We start from the raw sequence: 20,265 nt of genomic DNA on the forward strand, positions 1-20,265 counted from the left end.
CGGGGTTTCACCATGTTGGCCAGGATGGTCTCGATCTCTTTGACTTCATGATCTGCCCACCTCGGCCTCCCAAAGTGCTGGGATTATAGGCATGAACCACCATGCCCAGCCTGTTCTTTTGTTAATTTGGGGGCAGTGACGGTTGCCACTAAACCTGACCAATATCACTGGGTTTGAGATGGCGTGAGCTCTAGACTAAACTTAAATTTTAAGCTGGTTAATCAAGTTGTTTGGTTAAGCAATTTATTCGTTTCCCAGAATTGTCTTTCTTTCCTTAATGCAAACATTCTTTGTGCTATCTTAGTTTTGTTAAGCTATTTATTATAGGATCAAGTATTCTACCACTACCAAGTATACAACCAAATATTACAGTTTTTCCAACACAGCATAATTATAAATTGTCATGCCTGGATAAACTAATTGCTTAAGGAGACTCTAACCCAGTGATTCTGCTAAAGTATAACACTCAGTGACCTTCCACATAATACACATGCAGCTGAATATTATCTTAGAGCCACTTGATAATGGGCATATTTAATTTTTGTGATTTCCTCATAGGAGCTTCACCAAGACTACAAATTCAACCAAATCACAATGTCATAAAACTTTAAATTCTTGGGAAACATTTTTAAACAAATCAAGTTTCCTTTGGTAAGAAACCTGAATATTGAAATGTGATGTTTTTGAAATGACATTTATAAAATGGCATAAACCCAGGCAGACTCATAAAACAAATTAAAGCTAAAAAGAATACAGGCAAATACAATAAATATAAAAAATGTATTGGGCAATATTTACTAGTATCCAAAGCCTATATTTTTCTCTATCCCCAATTCAGTTTCAGAGATGCCAGTTTTCTCTTTGTTTTGCTAATAAAAAATATTCCTTGATTTGTCCAAATTCTAAATTCTATGGCATACATACACAAATTTATGTGTTCACCTTTTGTGTATATTTTGAGTGCCAGCTACTTAAATGAACATGGCATGAAACATTTTAAAATTTTTCTTCTATTATTGCTCTTCTCTAAATATGCCTTCTTAAAGTTCCAATTTCTATAGAATAGATTTTCTTAATGTGAACTGTATCTCTCCTAGTGCAGCCGTAGGTTTTTCCAAACACAAAGTAGACTTGGGTGGCCAAAAATGGATACTGCACTGACTCTAATACATAAAAATGCTGTGATTACAGGGAACTGCTACATTATTACTCCTAATAGATGGACTTTGTGATCTTTTCCATTATTTGCATTCACAGCCTCACCTGGTTCCCCTTTCTAAGTCACATATTTCCTAGAAAGAGAAAGTGACAAATGATGATATGACTACAGTATTTGCAGAAAGGTAAATCAATCACCACAGTATAGATCATATGAAATGTTTATGGGAAAAATTAATATTAAATACTTCCTAAGGCCAAGAATTGTAAAGAATACTTTCACATAATATTATCTTATTTAATTTAATATCCTATTTATTTTAGTATTATTTTATTTCATTCTCATCCTAATGCTGTCAGTAAGAAAATCCTCTAATTCTCCAGGGGCGTACCTTTTCCATTCTCTGTACAAGGTTCTCCAATTCTGTAATTTGACTGTGTTTTTCTTCAAGTTTTTCAGCAACTTGATTCAGATTTTCAACATGTTGTTTCAATTTCTGTTCTTTTTCAAGCTTGTTAACCTATGGTCAGAGAATCAGTTGTGTTGTGAAAACTCTGTTTTTCTTAAACCTATACACATATTACCTCTTTCTATAATTTTCTAATTAGCCAAAAAAATTCAGAATTCATACTTGTTTAGAATTACTCTTTTGATTTCAGTGTTTACTTCAAAATAACCCTGATAGACTACAACAACATTAAATAGAGAATTAATAATGTATAAATATTCTTCCTAGAATGTTTCCATTTGTTACCATAAAGCATACTTCCTGAACAGGTATAAGAGAGAAAGATGCTAATTTAACGAAAGCAACATTTTTGACTTTTTCTCAACAATTATTATCCAGAACAAAAAAAACCTTACATGTTCAATTAAAACACGTTTTATGTTTAATTAGAAAGTGTCATAAAAGCAGAATAACTCCTCAGTGTGTCATGGTGCTACTTCATAGGCATAGAGCAGGGGTTGTTCTGAACCATCATAGGAGAGAAGACTCCATCTAGCAGGCAGTAAGCTACAGTGGGACTGTGTCGACTAACTTGTTACTCTTCTGTGTGTGTATTTAACAAAGCTTGACATTTCACAGGGAAAAATAAGTGTCTGGCTTCCCTTGTAAATACCAAGTGGGCCTTCCAGTCAGGTCACTCCAGGCTGGTGCCGAGCCCACATTACAGGGATGCACACTTCCCGTCCCCACAAGCGCCCCCATAGCATAGCACCCTCATCCGCTTCCCGCTTATGTTCTTCATCTGCACCCAGCATGCATGTGAGTTTGCAACCATCACTACCACAGCCTGATGCATGAAAGGGTGTCACCTAGGCAGTGAATTTCCTACTGTACTCCCCTGAGGACCTTCTTAGAGCCTGAGCTGACAGACACCTGGGTGCCCCAAACTATGATGAATGAACTTTCCTATTAGCTGTTTTATAGTTTTAATTTTGGCAAACACACACACACAGGCATACACACACTTTTTTGACTCCTCCAGTTCTAGAATATATTTTTCAGACAGATTTTATTGGTCCTAGTATATATACTTCAGATTTAAAAACAAATGAACAAAAAAGAATATGTTTGAGTGTCTGTACATGATTTTTATTTTTAAAATTTATACATATTTACATATTAAAATATAAAAGCATCTAAATTTATATTTTAAAAAATATATAACTATATTATTTATATAGATAAATATATTTATTTATATAGATATTATATATTTATTTATTATATTAGATATTATAATTATATAGATAAATATATATAATTATTTATATAGATAAATATATATCTATATATTTTTAAAAAATATATAGTTATATATATTTAAAAATATATAGTTATATATTTTTAAATAATATATAAAAATATAAATATATAAAATATATAACTTTATATATTATTTAAAAATATATAGATACATATTTTGTTTTCTGTTTTTTTAAATCCGAAGTATCTATCCTAAGACCAAAACAATTTTGAAAGCATGTGTCTAGCCCAACTCTTTCATTCTAGAGACAAGGACACCCAAATCCAGAGAGGAAGAATGGCTCAGTCTGGGCCATCTAGCGAGTCAACGGCAGAGCCCGAAGAGAAGTTACCAGCCCAGCTCCGCAGAGCCAGTCCAGATTTCCAGGCAGGGTGGCACTGCCTCCCTCCCACCTGTGCTCATGGGGGCTCTGGGCAAGAACTGCAACACAGCAGCTCAGCAACATCTGGGGTGTCCGGCTAAGCAGGGGTGAGAGAAATTGGCAAAAGAGACAAGCACACCGCTTCTTTCCCAAGTCTTTTGCCAAGTCACTTGGCCATTGCTTGTTTCATTTCTAACTCTTCTAGAAAGATGAACTTCAACAGCTCAGGGTGGGGGCTAGTTCTCCAATAGACAAGCTGCATGTTTGGTACCTGGAGTAATTGTTTACTGTCCTCCTGCTTCTTTCTCACTTCTTCAGATTGCGTTTGGTAGTTTTCAAATAATCTCTGGGCCACGTTTCTCAGAGCTGCTGCTCCTGCTTCTCTGGAGGCTTGCAGCTAGAAAAAAGGTCACTATGCATGTTCTGACATTTACAACAAAAAGTGTTAAAGGCAGAACAGTTTGATGGGCAATTAAGAACACCAAAGGTATAACTATACCATTTACAGCCTCATAGACAATGGATACGAGAGAAGACACTGTTATTTGGTAAGAGGAAAATGTAAAATGAGAAACTCCCTATTTAGAGGGGCTGTTGAACAGGCAGATTTGCCATAGTCAAACCAAACCAGAGCTCTGTGCATAGTAACGTCCTGCAGTGATAGTCCTCACTGTTCACATAACTCCATGGTGCTCTGTCAGCTTATACACTTATTTGCAAGCCTTTTATCATTAATGTCCATAACACTATTAAAAAGTGTATCTTCCTGAAATAGAAGTGGGACAAGGTTAAAGTATTGAGGACAATAATGCTAAAATGTTATGAATCTTTCCAGGATTTAACCTAAGGAAACAATCAAGGATGACTATAAAGACTTCCCTACCAAGATATTCATTGCAGGACTGCATATAAAATAAACCCCTAAAGAGAAAAATCAAAAGCATTCAGCAATAGACAAATGTAAAAATATTGTGACATTTGACTATGAAGGCTATAATTAATATTTATTAAATATGAACACACTTTTAAAAAGGTATTGTGGATTGTGGTAAGAACAATTAACATGAGATGTACTAAGTGTACAGTACAGTATTGTTAACTATAGACACAATGTTATGCAGTAGATTTCTAGAACTTATTCATCTTGCATGACTGAAATTGTATAACTGTTGAACTTTTGTAAGATATTTTCAATAACAAAAGAAGCCTCAAAAATAAAACAGTGAGATATGATTTGTGAAATATAAAAATGCTTCTCTATGTAAGTGAGCATGCAGATGGACCTATGGATGTGTGTGGACATCTCTCTGCTTTTACAGAGCCACAGATGCTAACAACCCATTCTATTAGCTCGAAGGCTCAAAACACAAAATTTGAAACTTCTAAAAGTCATACCTTGATTTTCAATACTTCATTCTCTTTGTTCATTTCTAAGAGCTGTAGGTCTTTTCCTTTTATCTTTTTCATAAGCAAATCCAAACTGCAACAAGAAGGATCCATTTCAGAATCAGAGCCCTGTTGAAGGTTTCCACAGTGCTGAAACGGACAAATGAAAATCATAGACCTGACTATCTTTTCCTCTACAAACTTTGACAACAATAATGATCATTTAGTATTACATATATCAAAGAAGCTTCAGATCAGCACAAACAAACATCTTTTGAATCTCAAATATCAATGGGAAATTCTAGATGAAGCAGTTGACTTCTAATTTGCTGAAATTTAAACAGATTCTTATATTGAAAGAGTTAGAATGACATTTTAACTTTTATATTTTCTATAGTTTCAAATGTACTGATAAGGGCTTTTTAGGAGATAAATAATGTCCACAAGGCCAGACATTTTTTTAAAAATCTAAGTTGTGGACATAATTACATTTTGGTCACATTGCATTATAGACTAATACTGTCAGACCTAATAGTTACAATACATAATAGTCAATGTTTGGTGATGCTTCACTGTAATTACCTCATATTAAATTTCCAATCAGAGATATCAGAACTGAATGACACTGCCATTATAACCTGATGTAAGCTCTAGCTCACTGAAAATACACTTGGAACATAAATCTCATCTGGAATCGTGGACACACGGAGGTGGATAATAAATTGGAAACCACCTAACTTAAACTGTCCATTTTACAGATGTAGAAACTGAGGACCAGGGCCCAAGTTTATGCAGCAAGTGAGCGGGAGACCTCATGGCACTGCCTCTTGAATAGTTATTGTGTGCTCTTTCTGTTCTTTCAATTTATTTCAAAACTGAGAAATGATTACACAATTACACATACACTACAATTATAATAACAGCTTCTATTTGTTAAACACCTGTTATATGCCAGGTCATCTTTTAGATGTTTTATGTACAGTCCTTTGTCTGAATACTCAAAACACTGGAAGGTGCTAGGCCCTTTACACAGGTGAGGAATTTGAAGATGAGAGTTTAACTAACACACCTAAGGTTTTACCTAAAGTAACTGCCAGACCAGAATTAGAATCCCAGTTTGTTTAACAACAAAATATATGTTCTTTTCACTACAATATAATAACTATGATTGCAGAAATAAAAAACAAAAAGAACTTAGTGTATGTGGATAATATCCTCCCTCACCGTAACTCTGTCACAGTTTTGTGTTTTAGAGTCAAGACCCTAGTGCATACTTCCACTCTTCATATACAGAGTAGGAATTATTTTCTTTTTTAATTTGTTAAAGAATATTTGACAAAAAAAAAAACTCTTGAAGAAGGCAGATTATCAGCAGTGGTAGATGGCTACAAAGATCATTGATCAGTGCTTTTCAAACTTCAATGTGCCTGTGAACTACTGGGTGATAGAACTGGTTAAAAATGCAGATTCTGAATCAGGAGGTCTGGGGTAGAGCCTAGATGCGGCCTTTCTAACAAGCTCCTGGTGATGCTGAGCTGCTGGGACTGCAGACCACACTTGAGAGTAGCAAGGCCCTAGATCACTATGGTGAAATCTCTACAGGGCCAGAGGGCTGATGCTTTGATGCATGGTTGATCTGCTGACCTTCTGTGGTTTGAGGTGGCTGAGGCAGACACATGGCAACACAGTGTCGTCACCATTCCTAAGAAGCTCCTCCTATCTATGGTGGGCATTCAGTCCGCAATTTCCTTGGCCCATGGACATTATTTGACAGAGGGGTCCCGCCGTGCTTCTGAAACCCTCTCCTCATTTGCCTTCAGTGACTCCTGCTAAAGTGGCCTTGACACGAGTAACTTCAAACCATAAGAGGTCAGCAGATCAACCACACATCAAATCATCAGCCCTCTGGCCTTGTAGAGATTTTGCCATGATAATCTAGGGCCTTGCTACTCTCAACTGTGGTCTACGGTCCCAGCAGCTCAGCATCAACAGGAGCTTGTTAGAAATGCAGCATCTTGGCTCTACCCTAGAGCCCTGAAATCTCCTTCTTTTCCTCCTAATCCACCAGCCTCATCTCACCTTCCTGGGATGGTTCTTCTTCCTGATATCTAAACATTGGGAACGGTCCCCTCAAGACTCAGTCCTTAGATCTTCTCTCATTTCTCTCCACACTCACTCACTTGGTAAACTTCTCCAGTTTCAGAACTTTAAATACAATCCTCAAATGCCCAAAATCTCTACCCTGTATCCTGGACCTTCTAGCTCAGTCTTCTACCCGCAGCTCCAGAATCAGATGTCCAGCTGCCTATTAGAAGCCTCTACTTGGAGGTCTAACAGGCAGCTCAACATAGCCCAAACTGAATTTTTTAATCTTCCCTATCATTCCTAAACATAACCTTGTTTTCTAGTTTAGAAGTATTTTAAATAATAATTGAAGCTAGTTATGTTAGTGTGGGAGGCTGAGGGTGATGAAAATGACTACATTTATGCATTATACCCCACGTTCTGGTGGACTCTGTGGCCATGCCTATAGTGGACAACACTGATTAAGTACACTTGGCTCAGATGTGGTTTAGCTTGGTGTAATCCAGACAAGGCTAAGTGCAGATTGCTCGACCTTAGGTATATACAGCTGATGTTGGGGAAGGGAGTGCATTCAAACTTATCAACTATCTAACAAAGTCTTGACTCAACTCAGGCCTAAAAGCTTCAACTGTATGTGTCTATTCATGTGGCCCACGTGAGTCTAAAAGCTCTGCCTGTCATTGGGAAATGTTGCTGTCATGGATCTTGGCTGGGCCAACATCTTCTCATTTACTTTCGATAAGTAAGCCTTGTTTAATATATTCAAGTAAGGCCTAGCCATTCCAATTTGATCTTATAACATTTGTGGTTAAACATTTCACACATATGGCCATTAACGTCTTTAGATATGCATGAAATATTTCAACACTCATCCTTCGAATCTTCAAAGAAGTTAGTAATTGCCCAAAAATTACTTTAAAAAGTCTAAATGGCTTTATGCTAATCTTCTGCAGGAAATTATTACCTTTGCATCTAGTTTGTGATTTGTACTGTCATGTCTTATTTCATCTTTAAACATCTGGGTCCTGATCTTTTGCAGAGTAGTTCGAATCTAGAGAAGGAAAACAAAACCATTTGTTTCAAAGGCATTTAATGCCAAACGCTTTTTTTCTCAATACCAGTTACAGGGTACCTGATTATCTAGAAAGTAATACATATATACATATATTGATCTCAGATTTAAATAACTGCCACCATCAACCTAACTTGCATTTAGGCTAATATTGTTTAGATTGCTGAAGGTAAGCATTTGGACTTTATAACTCTTTCTCAGACAAATCTAAAATATCACTTAAGTGAATATTATCCCCCAAAAAATTATTAGTTAGTAATTAGTACTTAATACTATTTAGTTTTGTTTTGTCTATTTAGTAATTTAGTACTAATTTACTGTTTAGTAATTACTATAAAACAATTACTACTTAGTAATCACTACAAAATAATTACTACCTAGTAATTACTACAAAATAATTACTATTAAGTAATTACTACAGAATAATTACTGAGAGATCACACACATTTATGAATGAAATATAAGCCCATGTCTTGATGACCTATGGAGTTGCAAGACACTCAAAGATGATGGAATTAATTAATCTGAACAAGTTATAAACTATGCCAGAATTTGTCCATTATTTCACTAAATAATTAAATAATCCAAAAAGGTAAAATATGAAATTTCTCTTTTTATTCAGCATCCTCTTAGACTGTAAGACTGTAAGAGTAGGAGCCAGGTTTATACTCTACAACATTATTTTATTTTTTATTATTATAATTTTTTTGAGATGGAGTCTTGCTCTGTTGCCCAGGCTGGAGTGCAATGGTGTGATCTCTGCTCACTGTAACCTCCGCCTCCTGGGTTCAAGCGATTCTCCTGCCTCAGCCTCCTGAGTAGTTGAGATTACAGGCACCCACCACCAAGCCTGGCTAATTTTTTTGTATTTTAAGTAGAGACGGGATTTCTCCATGTTGGTCAGACTGGTCTCAAACTCCTGACCTCAGGTGATCCACCTGCCTCGGCCTCCCAAAGTGCTGGGATTACAGGCATGAGCCACTGCACCTGGCCTACTCTAGCACATTTTAAGTGCTTAACACATGTCTGTTGTAAGAAACAGTTAAGAATATATATTTCTGCCAGCCATTATCATTTTGGATTCTCATAAGACTTCACATGTTTAATGAAGTGATATGCCAACCCACAGTCACTGGCAATAGTTACCCTGAACTGTGAAAAGGAACAAGGTAACGAGAGGCACCAACTCAGCAGGAAATGTAAACGTCTACTTGGGAACACGATCAACACTCATGAAACCACTGGAAAACATTATAAAACAGTAGGAAATCCAGTGGTGAATAGTGAGGGACAAATTAAGTGCTGATAGGTGTTCTGAACCCTCCTGGCCCATTATTCAATTTTACTGAGTGAGTAAAATCATTTTACTCCAAGCATAGGAACAGTTTCGTATCCTCAAGAGAAATGACTAAACATGGGTTTAAACTTCAGCTAGGAAGACTGTCCTTTGCCAAACTAGGGTTGTTCCTTTACATATGTTCTATGGAGAGGGAAACAAAATCCTCCAGCCCATATTGGAATTTCTCTTTAAAAAATCATATCATACTAATGATTTCTGCTACCCACATACCTTTTTCACATACTCGGTTTCTTCAATAATGTGAGCGGACGTAGACTCATACAAGGCAGAATTATCTTCCATCTTATCCCTTGGGGGAATTTCTGTGGTCACTGTCACTGTTGTCATTGTGAATTCTGGCTTTAGGAAAACATAAATCAGCTAAGCAAAACAGACTGTTTTGATTGTATGATTATATGGTTCATAAACTGAAATAAGTTGTTTTATCACTATAGTCAAATATAGCAGAAAAGCTATAAATCATTGGTATCTGTATATATTCATAAATCCAGGAATTAATTTAATATAAAGCCATATCATCTGAAGGAATCATTAATTAAAAATTTAACATTTAAATAATCTAAAAAGGTAAAATCTGAAATTTCTCTTTTTATTCAGTATCATCTCAGACTGTAAAATCTAAAATCTCAGACTGTAAAAAGGAATGAGGTTTATATTCTAGTACATTGTAAGTACATAATAAATGTAGAATTAACATGATACAATTATAACAAAATTATGTTTTGTGTGCGTGTGTGTATCTTCATACATAGTCTGCAAAGCCTATTTACTATTAGGAGAACTAATAGTAAAAGACTGGAAAAACCCCATGCCAACAAGAAGAGGATAGATTAAATAAACTATCAACTGCTATGGAGCCATCACTAGGATGTATTATTATCTCATGAAAAAGCATAGAGCGGAAAATAATATATAATATCACATTTTCTATAAGAAGGGTAGGAAATATGAATGGAAGGAAGAAATCTGTGTCTTAAGGTTTTCATACTAAACCACATATATATATTATCTAACTATGAAATAAAATTGACAGAAAAAGTAATCATCCAAAATAAAGGTGAAATGAAATAAACAAATAAATATATCTGTATATCAAGTTCTATAACCATAAGAATTATTTCAAGTGATTAAAAATGACATACCAGGAACTATTTATCCCTGGTGTGCTATATTCTAAGAACAAAAAGAATAGCAAAATAATCTTGAACTATATTCACTCATAATATTGTTAGTGGAAATATTGGTATTGCCATTTTGAACTGTGAACTGTGTTTGGTGTGTTTATGTACACAGGTTCACATTATAGAATAAAGCCAACAGGTAATTGTGTTAACATCATGAAGAATCAAGCTATTTATCATAAAAGAAAAAATAAAATATACAACAAAAATGTTAGGTGAAGCCGGTGAAGTCGGGCATGGTGGCTCACATCTGTAATCCCAGCATTTTGGGAGGCCAAAGTGGACCGATCACTTGAGGTCAGGAGTTTGAGACTAGCCTGGCCAACATGGTGGAACCCCGTCTCTACTAAAAATATAAAAATTAGCTGGGCATGGTGCACATCTGTAATCCCAGCTACTCGGGAGGCTGAAGCACAAGAATCACTTGAACCCAGGAGGTACAAAATAATGATTTATTTTCCTTTAAATAATATATATTCTACCTTTATTCACTAAAAAACCTAGAAATAGTAGCAGTTAGCATCCCTCACGGCCAGACTGTGGTCTTTGAATATCATATCCTACCAAAAAGGAAACTAGGACTTCTTGGCTGATCCAGGTCTGGGGTAAGAAATATGTAAAGTGAGCTTATAATTATTATTTACTATAATAAATAGTAAATAACTAATAAGTAAACTATAATAAAAAGCCCTGTGGAGTAGGATTATTAATCTTATGTTACTGATAAGAAGCCAAGACTCCACTCCCATAGTCTGAGATATCTGGTCATATCAGCAAGCAAAAAAGTGATCAATACTATTTGAATAAGACACAAAACCCATCCTGAAGAAGAATGTCTATGATGGATTGAAACTTATCAAAAATGTTAAATCCCTGAATTTATGATGACTGAAGAAAAACCCGCAACAACCACAATGCTTACTGTCCACCTTTAGAAGCACATAAGGCAAAAGCTCAATGCACATAAACCAAAAGTATACTAAAACCTGGCAAAAAAAGAAACAAGCATGTATTATATGAACTATATTTCATAGCAACCAAGTAGTTGATGAGGGAAAGTTTATTTATTGAATTCCAGCTAATAAATTCAAAAGGAGAGATAAAATTAGAAAATCTATATTTTGCAACCCTTGATGAAGTAAAAAAACCTAAGCATCATCACCTAAAGCTAAAAACATTAGTGAATATTTAATGAGGAAACTTTAACCTGAGAGACACCATTAATCAATCTTAACATAAATTAAGGATCTTAAGAGATACAGGACCAAATGCAACATATGAATCTTGTTTGGATTTTGATTCAAAAAAATCAACTATGTAAAGACATTTTTTAGACTAACTGGATAACATGTGATGTTAAAGAATTGTTGTAATTTTGCTAGCTGTGATAATTGTGACATTCTTTAAAAGGATTGTATCTTTTAGTAATACCTACTGACATATTTGCAGGTGAAATTGTGTTACATTTGGAACTGCTTTAAAACTCAAAGAGAGAGGTAAAAAGGACATGCGGATAAAGATTAAGGAAATTTAGCAAAACATAGATAACTATTGAAACTGGGTGATGAGTCTATAGGGTTCATTGTATTCCTCTATGTATTTTGGTTTTGTTTGAAATTTCTATAATAAATAGTAAATAACTAATAATTAAACTATAATAAAAAGCCCTGTGAGGTAGGATTATTAATCCTATGTTACTGATAAGAAGCCAAGACTCCACTCCCATAGTAACATTAACTTACCCAAGACGAAGTAAAATTAATAGAGCTAAAACGCCAACCTTGGTCTTTTAGAAGTTCAGAGATGTTTCCATCATATTAAGACTGGCTTCCCTGGAGAGAAACAATAACAACAACAAAATATTTAAAATCTAACAGTTGTGAGCTAGGCTGCAAAAAAAAACACAAAGAATTTGCATATTTGAGGGCATCACTTTGAAACAAGATCGCTTCTGGGGATACTACAAAGTCCTGCATTTATCCTTTAATCTTCAATGAAATTGACAGAGGATGCCAAGAATTTTCCATTTTATTATAAATCCTCTTAGCAGCTATGGCTTCTATTAAATATTTGTTTCCGCTGAAGTTGATTTGGCAGCAGCAACTCTGCAAGTGTGCTTTTGCAAACTGTGAATGGAAGTACGTCTCTTACTGGGTCCTCTGAAGTATCTTCCGGGATTAAGATATTGGTGCAAAACAACATTTAAATGCTTGAAGTAAGAGAAACACCCATAGAGTCAATATGCAGTGTGCTTGGAAGCCAGAGAGAGGATGGTCAGGCCAGGGTAGGGGTCAGCAAACCCCAGCCTGGGAGCTCAATCCAGTTTCCCTCCTGTTTGTACAGCCCCAGAGCTAAGAATGGTTCTTACATTTTTGAATGGTCAAACAAAAAAATCAAAAGAAGAATAACATTTCATGGCACATGAAAATTATATGAATTTCAAATTTAGTATTCATAAAAATGGTTGGAAAAAATCAAAGGAGAACATTTCAAGACACATGAAAATTATATGAAGTTCAAATGTAGTGCCTATAAATGAAGTTTTACTCTAATACAAGATAGCCATTCATGTACATATCTTTTATGTCGCTTTGGCGCCACAAACAGCAGAGTTCAGTAGTTGTGACAGAGAAAGTACGTGGCAGGCAACGCCTAAAATATTTCCTTATCTAGCCCTTTACAGGAAACGTTTGCTGACCTTTGGGTTGGGGCTTGGCAAGGAGTGGGGGCAGGACCAGTGGGAAAATAGAGGCAAGCAAAGCAATCGATCTGGCCTGAGTTTGTTTTTTTCCTCCAGTACAGTACCCTGGATCTACAGTCCCATTTGACTGATTTACTTTCATTTTCCTTTTTAGTATGTTATGCAATGTGTACATTAACAAATCATAAGAGGCATTTTATCATAGGAATGAATCGCTCTTTAGAATGAATCCCACTGCCTTCTCAGGCTCTTTCATAATTTGAAAATTGCATCGGGCCTTATGTCTTTTATCCTAAAATATACTCTCTTATGTACCTTTTATTCTTAAAATCAAGGAATTTTGTTTCTTGATGACTGATATTTCTGAAAACTTCCCACCTTTTCCACTCACTGGTTGGGCCACCTTAAACAAGTTACATAAAATCTTTGTCTTCACTTACATAGCTGTCAGGTAGGGGTGATAACACCTAGAGATAGGAAAATGAGTTTTTTTTTTTTAAATGCCTGCTAGCAGAAGGCACTCACTGGACAGTCACTGTCAATAGTGTTGCCCTGTTATTTTATATTATCAATAGCCACAGAAGACAAGCAGGGCAGGTAGTTCACATCTATCTGGTTGCAAAGCTTTATAACTGTATCCATATGAAATTAAATTCCATTTCTGTCTTTGGTTCAGAAAACTTTTGTACCCAGAGTCCTTGGTTGGTATAAAGAAACCCAAGGGGAACATAAGCCGGCGAAGTCCAAATTGCCATATGGCATTACTATCCTGGGGAAAATCCATGTTAGCATTTTATTTCAGCCAGAAGTAGATTAAGGGGATAAAATTTTCAAAATAAATCACAATCAGTTAATTAAAGTAAGGAAAGACTTTTATTTGTCTTATGCTAGAATGGATTGAAGACAGCTTACAGGTGGCATCACGCCAAGAGGAGGTATTTCCTAGACAAGTGCCTTTCAAACAGGGCTCCCAGGGAGGAGGCAGAGGGCTGCTGAATAGACAGGGCTCTGCCACCTCAACTTCAACCACCCCAGCTCTGCTTTATTCTGTCTCACACACTGAATTTTTCCATGAGGCTTTCTGTGAAGAAAGAAGGTTCCACAGCTGAAACAGTTTAGAGGCAGCCTGCCTAGTCTCATGGCTCCATTCTGCCACTCCATACCTGTGTGACCTCTGTCAAGTCCCTTAACTTCTCTGTGCCTCGGTTTCCTTAACAGTAAAATGAAAATAACATTAATTATTAACAATAATCAATGTGGGGTTGTTCATGAGTTAATATTTGTCAAGCACTTATAGCAGCACATTTAATATATAATAAATGATTTGTACATATTTGTCAAACAAGTACATAAAATATGAAACCACTATCCACAATTAAGGCTGACATGAAATCTGGGTGGTTTCCTTTCTTCCAGGAAAGAAGCAGGTTATATTTTAAATAATCTGTTACTGGGCTATGAAGGAAAAATTGCTTTGGGGGACTTTAAGACTAGCAAACCCGGGGGAGAAATTCCTTATTGCTAATGCACCGATAATTTGTCAGTTTCCTCAAACAATGATGCTAACATCTATTGAAGAGTTTACAATCTACAAAGCAATGCACACACGTTATTGTGAACCATAATCCATGTGATAAACCACCACACCACCAGGCACCCAGGAGAATCTAACTAAACCTTGTGCTCTGGTTAATGACATGAGAATAGCAGTACTACACAATAAACACAAACAAATGCCTGTGATGGGTTGAATTGTGTCCTCCCTTCAAATTCATGTTAAAGTCCTAACCCCCAGTTCCTCAGAATGGGACCTTATTTAAAAATAGGGTTTTGCAGGTGTAATTAGTTCAGTAAACATGAGGTCACACTGGAGTAGGGTGGATCCCTACTCCAATATGACTGATATCCTTATGAAAAGGAGCAATGTGTCGAGAGATGAGAACACCGAATGCCCTGTGAAAATGAAGGCAGAGATGTAGCGATGCTTCTGCATGCCAAGGAACACCAACGATTACTAGCAAACCACCAGAAGCAGGGGAGAGGCATGAAACAGATCTCTCCCACAGCCTTCAAGAGGAACCAGCCCTGCAGACACCTTGATCTTGAACTTCTAGGCTCTAGAACTGAGAGATGATCCATTTCCCTGTTCAAGCCACTCTGTGTGTGGCACTTTGTTAGAGCAACCCTAGAAAAGGATTACAGACACTGTTTATATTGTAGAGACTGTAACAAGAGTGTTTCCTTTCTTTACTTAACTCTTGATTCATTTATTGAGAGAGTAAATATTTACAGAAAGCCACTGTGTTAGGAACTGTGGTTACAGGGCTGAGCCAAAGACCCTAGTTTCGTAGGATTTTCAGTACAAAGGGAGAGACAGACATTAAACAAACGAGTAAATATAGAGGGAGTCTAAGGGAGGCTGTGATGAGTGACGTGAAGAAAAGCTGATCAGGGGACCAAGGGTAAAAGGAGGTGCTGTTCTAGATGAGCAGTGAGGGAAGCTGATCTGAGGAGGTGGTATTTGAGCAAAAGATGAAGAAAATCAGGTGCAAGCCATGTGGCTCTCTGGGATCTAGGAGAAGAGAGTTCCAGGCAAATGGGAAAGCAAGAGCAGAGGCTGGCAGGTGCCTAGAGCAGTGTTTTTGTTTGTTTGTTTGTTTTTTGAGACAAGGTCTCTCACTCTCTTGCCCAGGTTTGAGTTAAGTGGCGTGATCTCTGCTTACTTCAACCTCTACTTCCTGGGTTCCAGTGATTCTCGTGCCTCAGCTTCCCAAGTAGCTGGGATTACAGAGCTGCATCACTAAACCCAGCTAATTTTTTTGTATTTTTAGTAGAGATGGGGTTTCGCCATGTTGGCCAGGCTGGTCTTGAACTCCTGTGCTCAAGTGATCCACCCACCTTGGCTTCCCAAAGTGTTGGGATTACAGGCATGAGCCACAGCACCCGGTCCCTAGAGCAGTATTCTAAGAAAACCACGGCACATAGCAAAGTCTACCATTTTCTTTTCTTTTAATGTTGCAGGACCTTTTTCTTTTTGATCTAAACTTTTTGAGGCTTCGTTTGCCTAAGGAGTTGTCTCCTTGGCCACATTAAAACAGGTCTAGCAGTGGCTATTACGGATCCCCCAGGATTGAGGCAAAGACAGAGTGAAGCTGTCAGGTACTGCAAGGTGTAAACAACTGACTCCAGGTCAGCCCAGAGAAGGGACAATGAAGTCTGATTGACCGCACAGAGGTATTCACTCACGTCTGGGGGCTGCTGATTGAAAAGCACCATGCTGGATGTCTGGCAGGTTTTGGCTAGCTTGTGCTTGAATCTCCTTCCCAGATATGCTGAGGCACCATCTGTATGAGTCTTGCAGGAAAGGTCTCTTACTTGTTCATGCTCACTCCCTGGAGCTGGGGCACAGGGACAACATCTAGAATCAGCCAAATGACAGCTCCCGCTGGAAGTGCAACTCAGGGAATGGCCATCTGGCTGGTTGGAGCTGGAGGCAGTGGAAATCCAGTCATTGTTCAGGAAAGGGAAGGAGTCTCTGACACAGAGTGGTGCTTCATGTCCAAGTGGCAGGAAATTCAGTGGCAGTATCCAGTGGCCAGTGTCCAGTGGCTACGTCAGGAGGATCCTAACTCCTCATCTCACAACCTGATTTCACCGGTGTCCTAGCATATGAGATCCTCCCATTTTCCAAACCTAGTTTTTCAACATTCCCATCAATTCCGGTAGCTGCTCTATATCCTCTCAGTAAATTCTTCTTCTACCAAGTCAGCCAGAGTCAATTACTCTGGATTGCAATCAAGAGCCCTGCTTGGTTTTAGCACAGTTTCTGAGTTTTCAGATTTTTGTTTCCTGGTTCTAAGAGATTATTTGTTCATTTCTGATTACTATTTTATAGAGCTTGAATATTAGAAACTGAAAAAGTAAGTCACTACAAAAGTGCCACACGGATAATTCGGTTATATGAGGGAAAATAGCGAACGTTATCTCCAAACCCTTGATGAGGCTAACCATGTCCTGAATACTAAATAGCACACCTGTTCTGCAGCTACATTACACAGCACAATGGTGACATCCAGTGTCAGCTGGCTAAATCTCAGGTGACTGTGCAGTTTATCTGAAAACGAGCACAGTATACGAAAGACATGCATGTTACGCTGTACCCAAGTTCTGTTTTCAAATAAGAATCCAAACTTTTGCTAAGCAGAATTAATTTTATTCAACTACATGCTAATCATTTGTATATACACATATATTATAGCCAGTGCTATAGAAAATTCTTAGATATAAGATAAAAGCTATTTCGGAGGAAAAATGAAATATTTGTGTAAACACAATATATAAATATGTACTATTGACAAAACATGTGCCATTTACCAAATAATTTTTCATATATTGCCCAAATTAATCATTACTTCACTGTGTTATTGTTATTATCTTCAGTGTATATATATATATATGATGCAATAAGGCACAAAAAAGGATGTAAGATTTTCTAGGTTATAAGAACCTCATCAACTGAACACAATTAGGTTGACCCCAAATTCAGATGTCTTTTTTTTTTTTTTTTTTTTTTTTTTTTTGAGACGGAGTCTCGCTCTGTCGCCCAGGCTGGAGTGCAGTGGCGCGATCTCGGCTCACTGCAAGCTCCGCCTCCCGGGTTCACGCCATTCTCCTGCCTCAGCCTCCCGAGTAGCTGGGACTACAGGCGCCCGCTACCACGCCCGGCTAATTTTTTGTATTTTTAGTAGAGACGGGGTTTCACCGTGTTAGCCAGGATGGTCTCGATCTCCTGACCTCGTGATCCGCCCGCCTCGGCCTCCCAAAGTGCTGGGATTACAGGCGTGAGCCACCGCGCCCGGCCCAGATGTCTTTTTAATGAAATAGTCTATCCTCATAGTTCACTGGCATAATTTGAAACATTGAAAAACAGCTGAAAGCTTCAGCCAATGTTCAGTTCAGCAACTAAACTGCAAAAAGGTACAAAGCACATGCATCCCTTCCCATCTGGAGAAGAGTGGGAAGGAGGGGCCAGGATTTGTTAAGTGAGGACTATATGCCAGGTAGGGTATGCTCTCTATAATACTTCTCACATATGCCCTGAGAGGTTGATATTATTATTCCCATTTTGCAGATGAAGAAACAAGGCTCAACAAGATAAACAAAGATAACTAGTTGGTGGCCATTGGATCCCAAACCATGAGTTGTCTGGCTCTTTCTCATGAGTCTACTAGCTCCTTCTAACTTACCACTTTGCCTCTGCTACATTCTGAAGGAGTTTCTAAGCCTCAACTTCTTGGGCCCAAGATAGCTTAAGAATCAAAGTTTTCCAAAGTAGGTCACCAAGTAACAGTCACAGAACTCCTGATGGGAGGTCCCAGGTGTGTCCTTCAGGAGCCTGAACAGATGTTGTTGTCCCAGTAGATTTATTCCATGAACAAAGGCAGTTTGGCTGCATGGCTTAAAAACAAGGGATTTGGACTCAGTTGTTCTGCCTACAAGACTCTGTTCCACTTCATCACCAGCTGGGAGGTCTTGGAAAATCATTTAAACTCCCTAAGCCTCAGTTCCTCAACAGAAAAATTCAGATGAGAATGCCAACCTTCTCAGAGCTATGTGAGGATTAAATGAGATAATGCATGAAAAGTGCTTAATGGAGCATCTGACTTCATGCACATTAAATTAATATTAAATCATAATGTTTATACTCACAACTTATTGTGGACATTTGCTTGTAGGACATGATTTGAAAGTGTCAATTCCCAAGCTTAGTTTTCCCCTCACTATTCTTTCCTTAACCCATCAGCCAATTATTCCTCCTGATTTGAACTTCTCTATTAACAAGTCAACCCAAAAGCTGAGTAACACTTGCCAGTCAATAAAATATAAAAGGAAGCTGAGGTCAATGACATATGTCACAGTCACTTGCAACATTTACATGATGCCCTTTTAGAAAATGTCATTTGTGGCTCTATAAAATATTTTAGGAGTGAAGAGCCCAGGAATTTATAAAATACCTACAGTTTTCTGAGCTTGTCCTGGATTATTTTAGCTTGAACATAATTTATGTCATTTAAAAAAATTATCCAGCAAGGGGAAAAAGAGAAACCATACCAGTTCTGGTGAGGATGTGGAACAGTTGGAACTCCTGTCTGTTGCTGATGGGAATGGAAAATGTGGAGCTGCTGCGGACAACAGCTTGGCAGTTTCCTATACAGTTAAATACATAGTATACAACCCAGAAACCCCATGCCTTGGTATTTATCCAAGTGAAATGAAAAGTTATATTCCATAAAACCTGCACACAAATGTTCATAATTGCCAAACACTGCAAACAAGTCAAATGTTCACCAACAGGTGAATACAACTCCTCATTAAGAAGGAATGGACCAGGCATGGTGGCTCACACCTGTAATCCCAGCACTTTGGGAGGCCGAGGCGAGCTGATCACCTGAGGTCAGGAGATCGAGAGCAGACTGGCCAACATGGCGAAACCCCATCTCTACTAAAAATACAAAAATTAGCCAGTTGTGGCGGTGCACGTGCGTAATCACAGCTACTCAGGAGGCTGAGGCACAAGAATCGCTTGAACCTGGGAGGCAGAGGTTGCAATGAGCTGAAATTGTGCCACTGCACTCCAGCCTGGGTGACAGAGTGAGACTCTGTTTCAAAAAAAAAAAAGGAATGTATTACGGATACACCCAACAACATAGATAAGTGTCAAATGCATCATGCTAACTGAAACAGCCAAATTCAAGGAGCTACATATTCTATGGTTCCATTTGACATTCTAGAAAAGTAAAAACTGTAGGAATCAAAAGGGATAGTGGTTACTTGGGACTGGCAGTGGGGGACAGGTTAACTACAAAAGGAACACATAGGACTTTGGAGTGGGGGAATATATCTTGTTAGTGATCATGGTTCTATGACTATAACAATTTCCAAAAACTTACAATAGTCTATACTGAAAAAGATGAATTTGTACATGTTATTTAAAAAATAGTAACCTGGCAGGATCTAAAAAAAGCAATGCACAACTGAGATTTCAAAATCCAAGAACCTTCACTGATTTTATCAGAAGTAACTGGAAGCCAAAATTAATTGGATTTGTTTTTCTTCATTCAAATTCTTGACCCCCAAAAGAGTGTAAATGATTATATATATACATACACACACACACACACACACACA

The 20,265-nt window shown here is 37.5% G+C and overlaps 1 protein-coding gene across 21 annotated transcripts in view; it reads right to left on the reverse strand.

The window, feature by feature from the left end:
- The window catches only part of CCDC68 (coiled-coil domain containing 68), a 57,953-nt gene that overhangs the window by 31,761 nt on the left and 5,927 nt on the right, over window positions 1-20,265 (reverse strand). For 7 of the 21 annotated variants that reach the window (XM_047437867.1, XM_047437864.1, XM_047437868.1 and 4 more), the window contains exons 2-7: window positions 12,119-12,208; window positions 9,406-9,530; window positions 7,728-7,814; window positions 4,688-4,828; window positions 3,564-3,689; window positions 1,551-1,679 (exon numbers count right to left, since the gene is read on the reverse strand). In XM_047437867.1, the coding sequence (XP_047293823.1) occupies window positions 1,551-1,679; window positions 3,564-3,689; window positions 4,688-4,828; window positions 7,728-7,814; window positions 9,406-9,522 (600 nt within the window). In that variant the 5' untranslated portion in view covers window positions 9,523-9,530; window positions 12,119-12,208. Of the gene's footprint in view, window positions 1-1,550; window positions 1,680-3,563; window positions 3,690-4,687; window positions 4,829-7,727; window positions 7,815-9,405; window positions 9,535-12,118; window positions 12,209-16,323; window positions 17,184-20,265 lie in introns of those variants that run through there. The other 14 variants (XM_011526202.2, NM_025214.3, XM_006722552.4 and 11 more) reach the window with 7 other exon arrangements.

The sequence above is a fragment of the Homo sapiens genome, chromosome 18, assembly GCF_000001405.40.
Source record: "Homo sapiens chromosome 18, GRCh38.p14 Primary Assembly".
NCBI classification, from domain to species: Eukaryota; Metazoa; Chordata; class Mammalia; order Primates; family Hominidae; genus Homo; species Homo sapiens.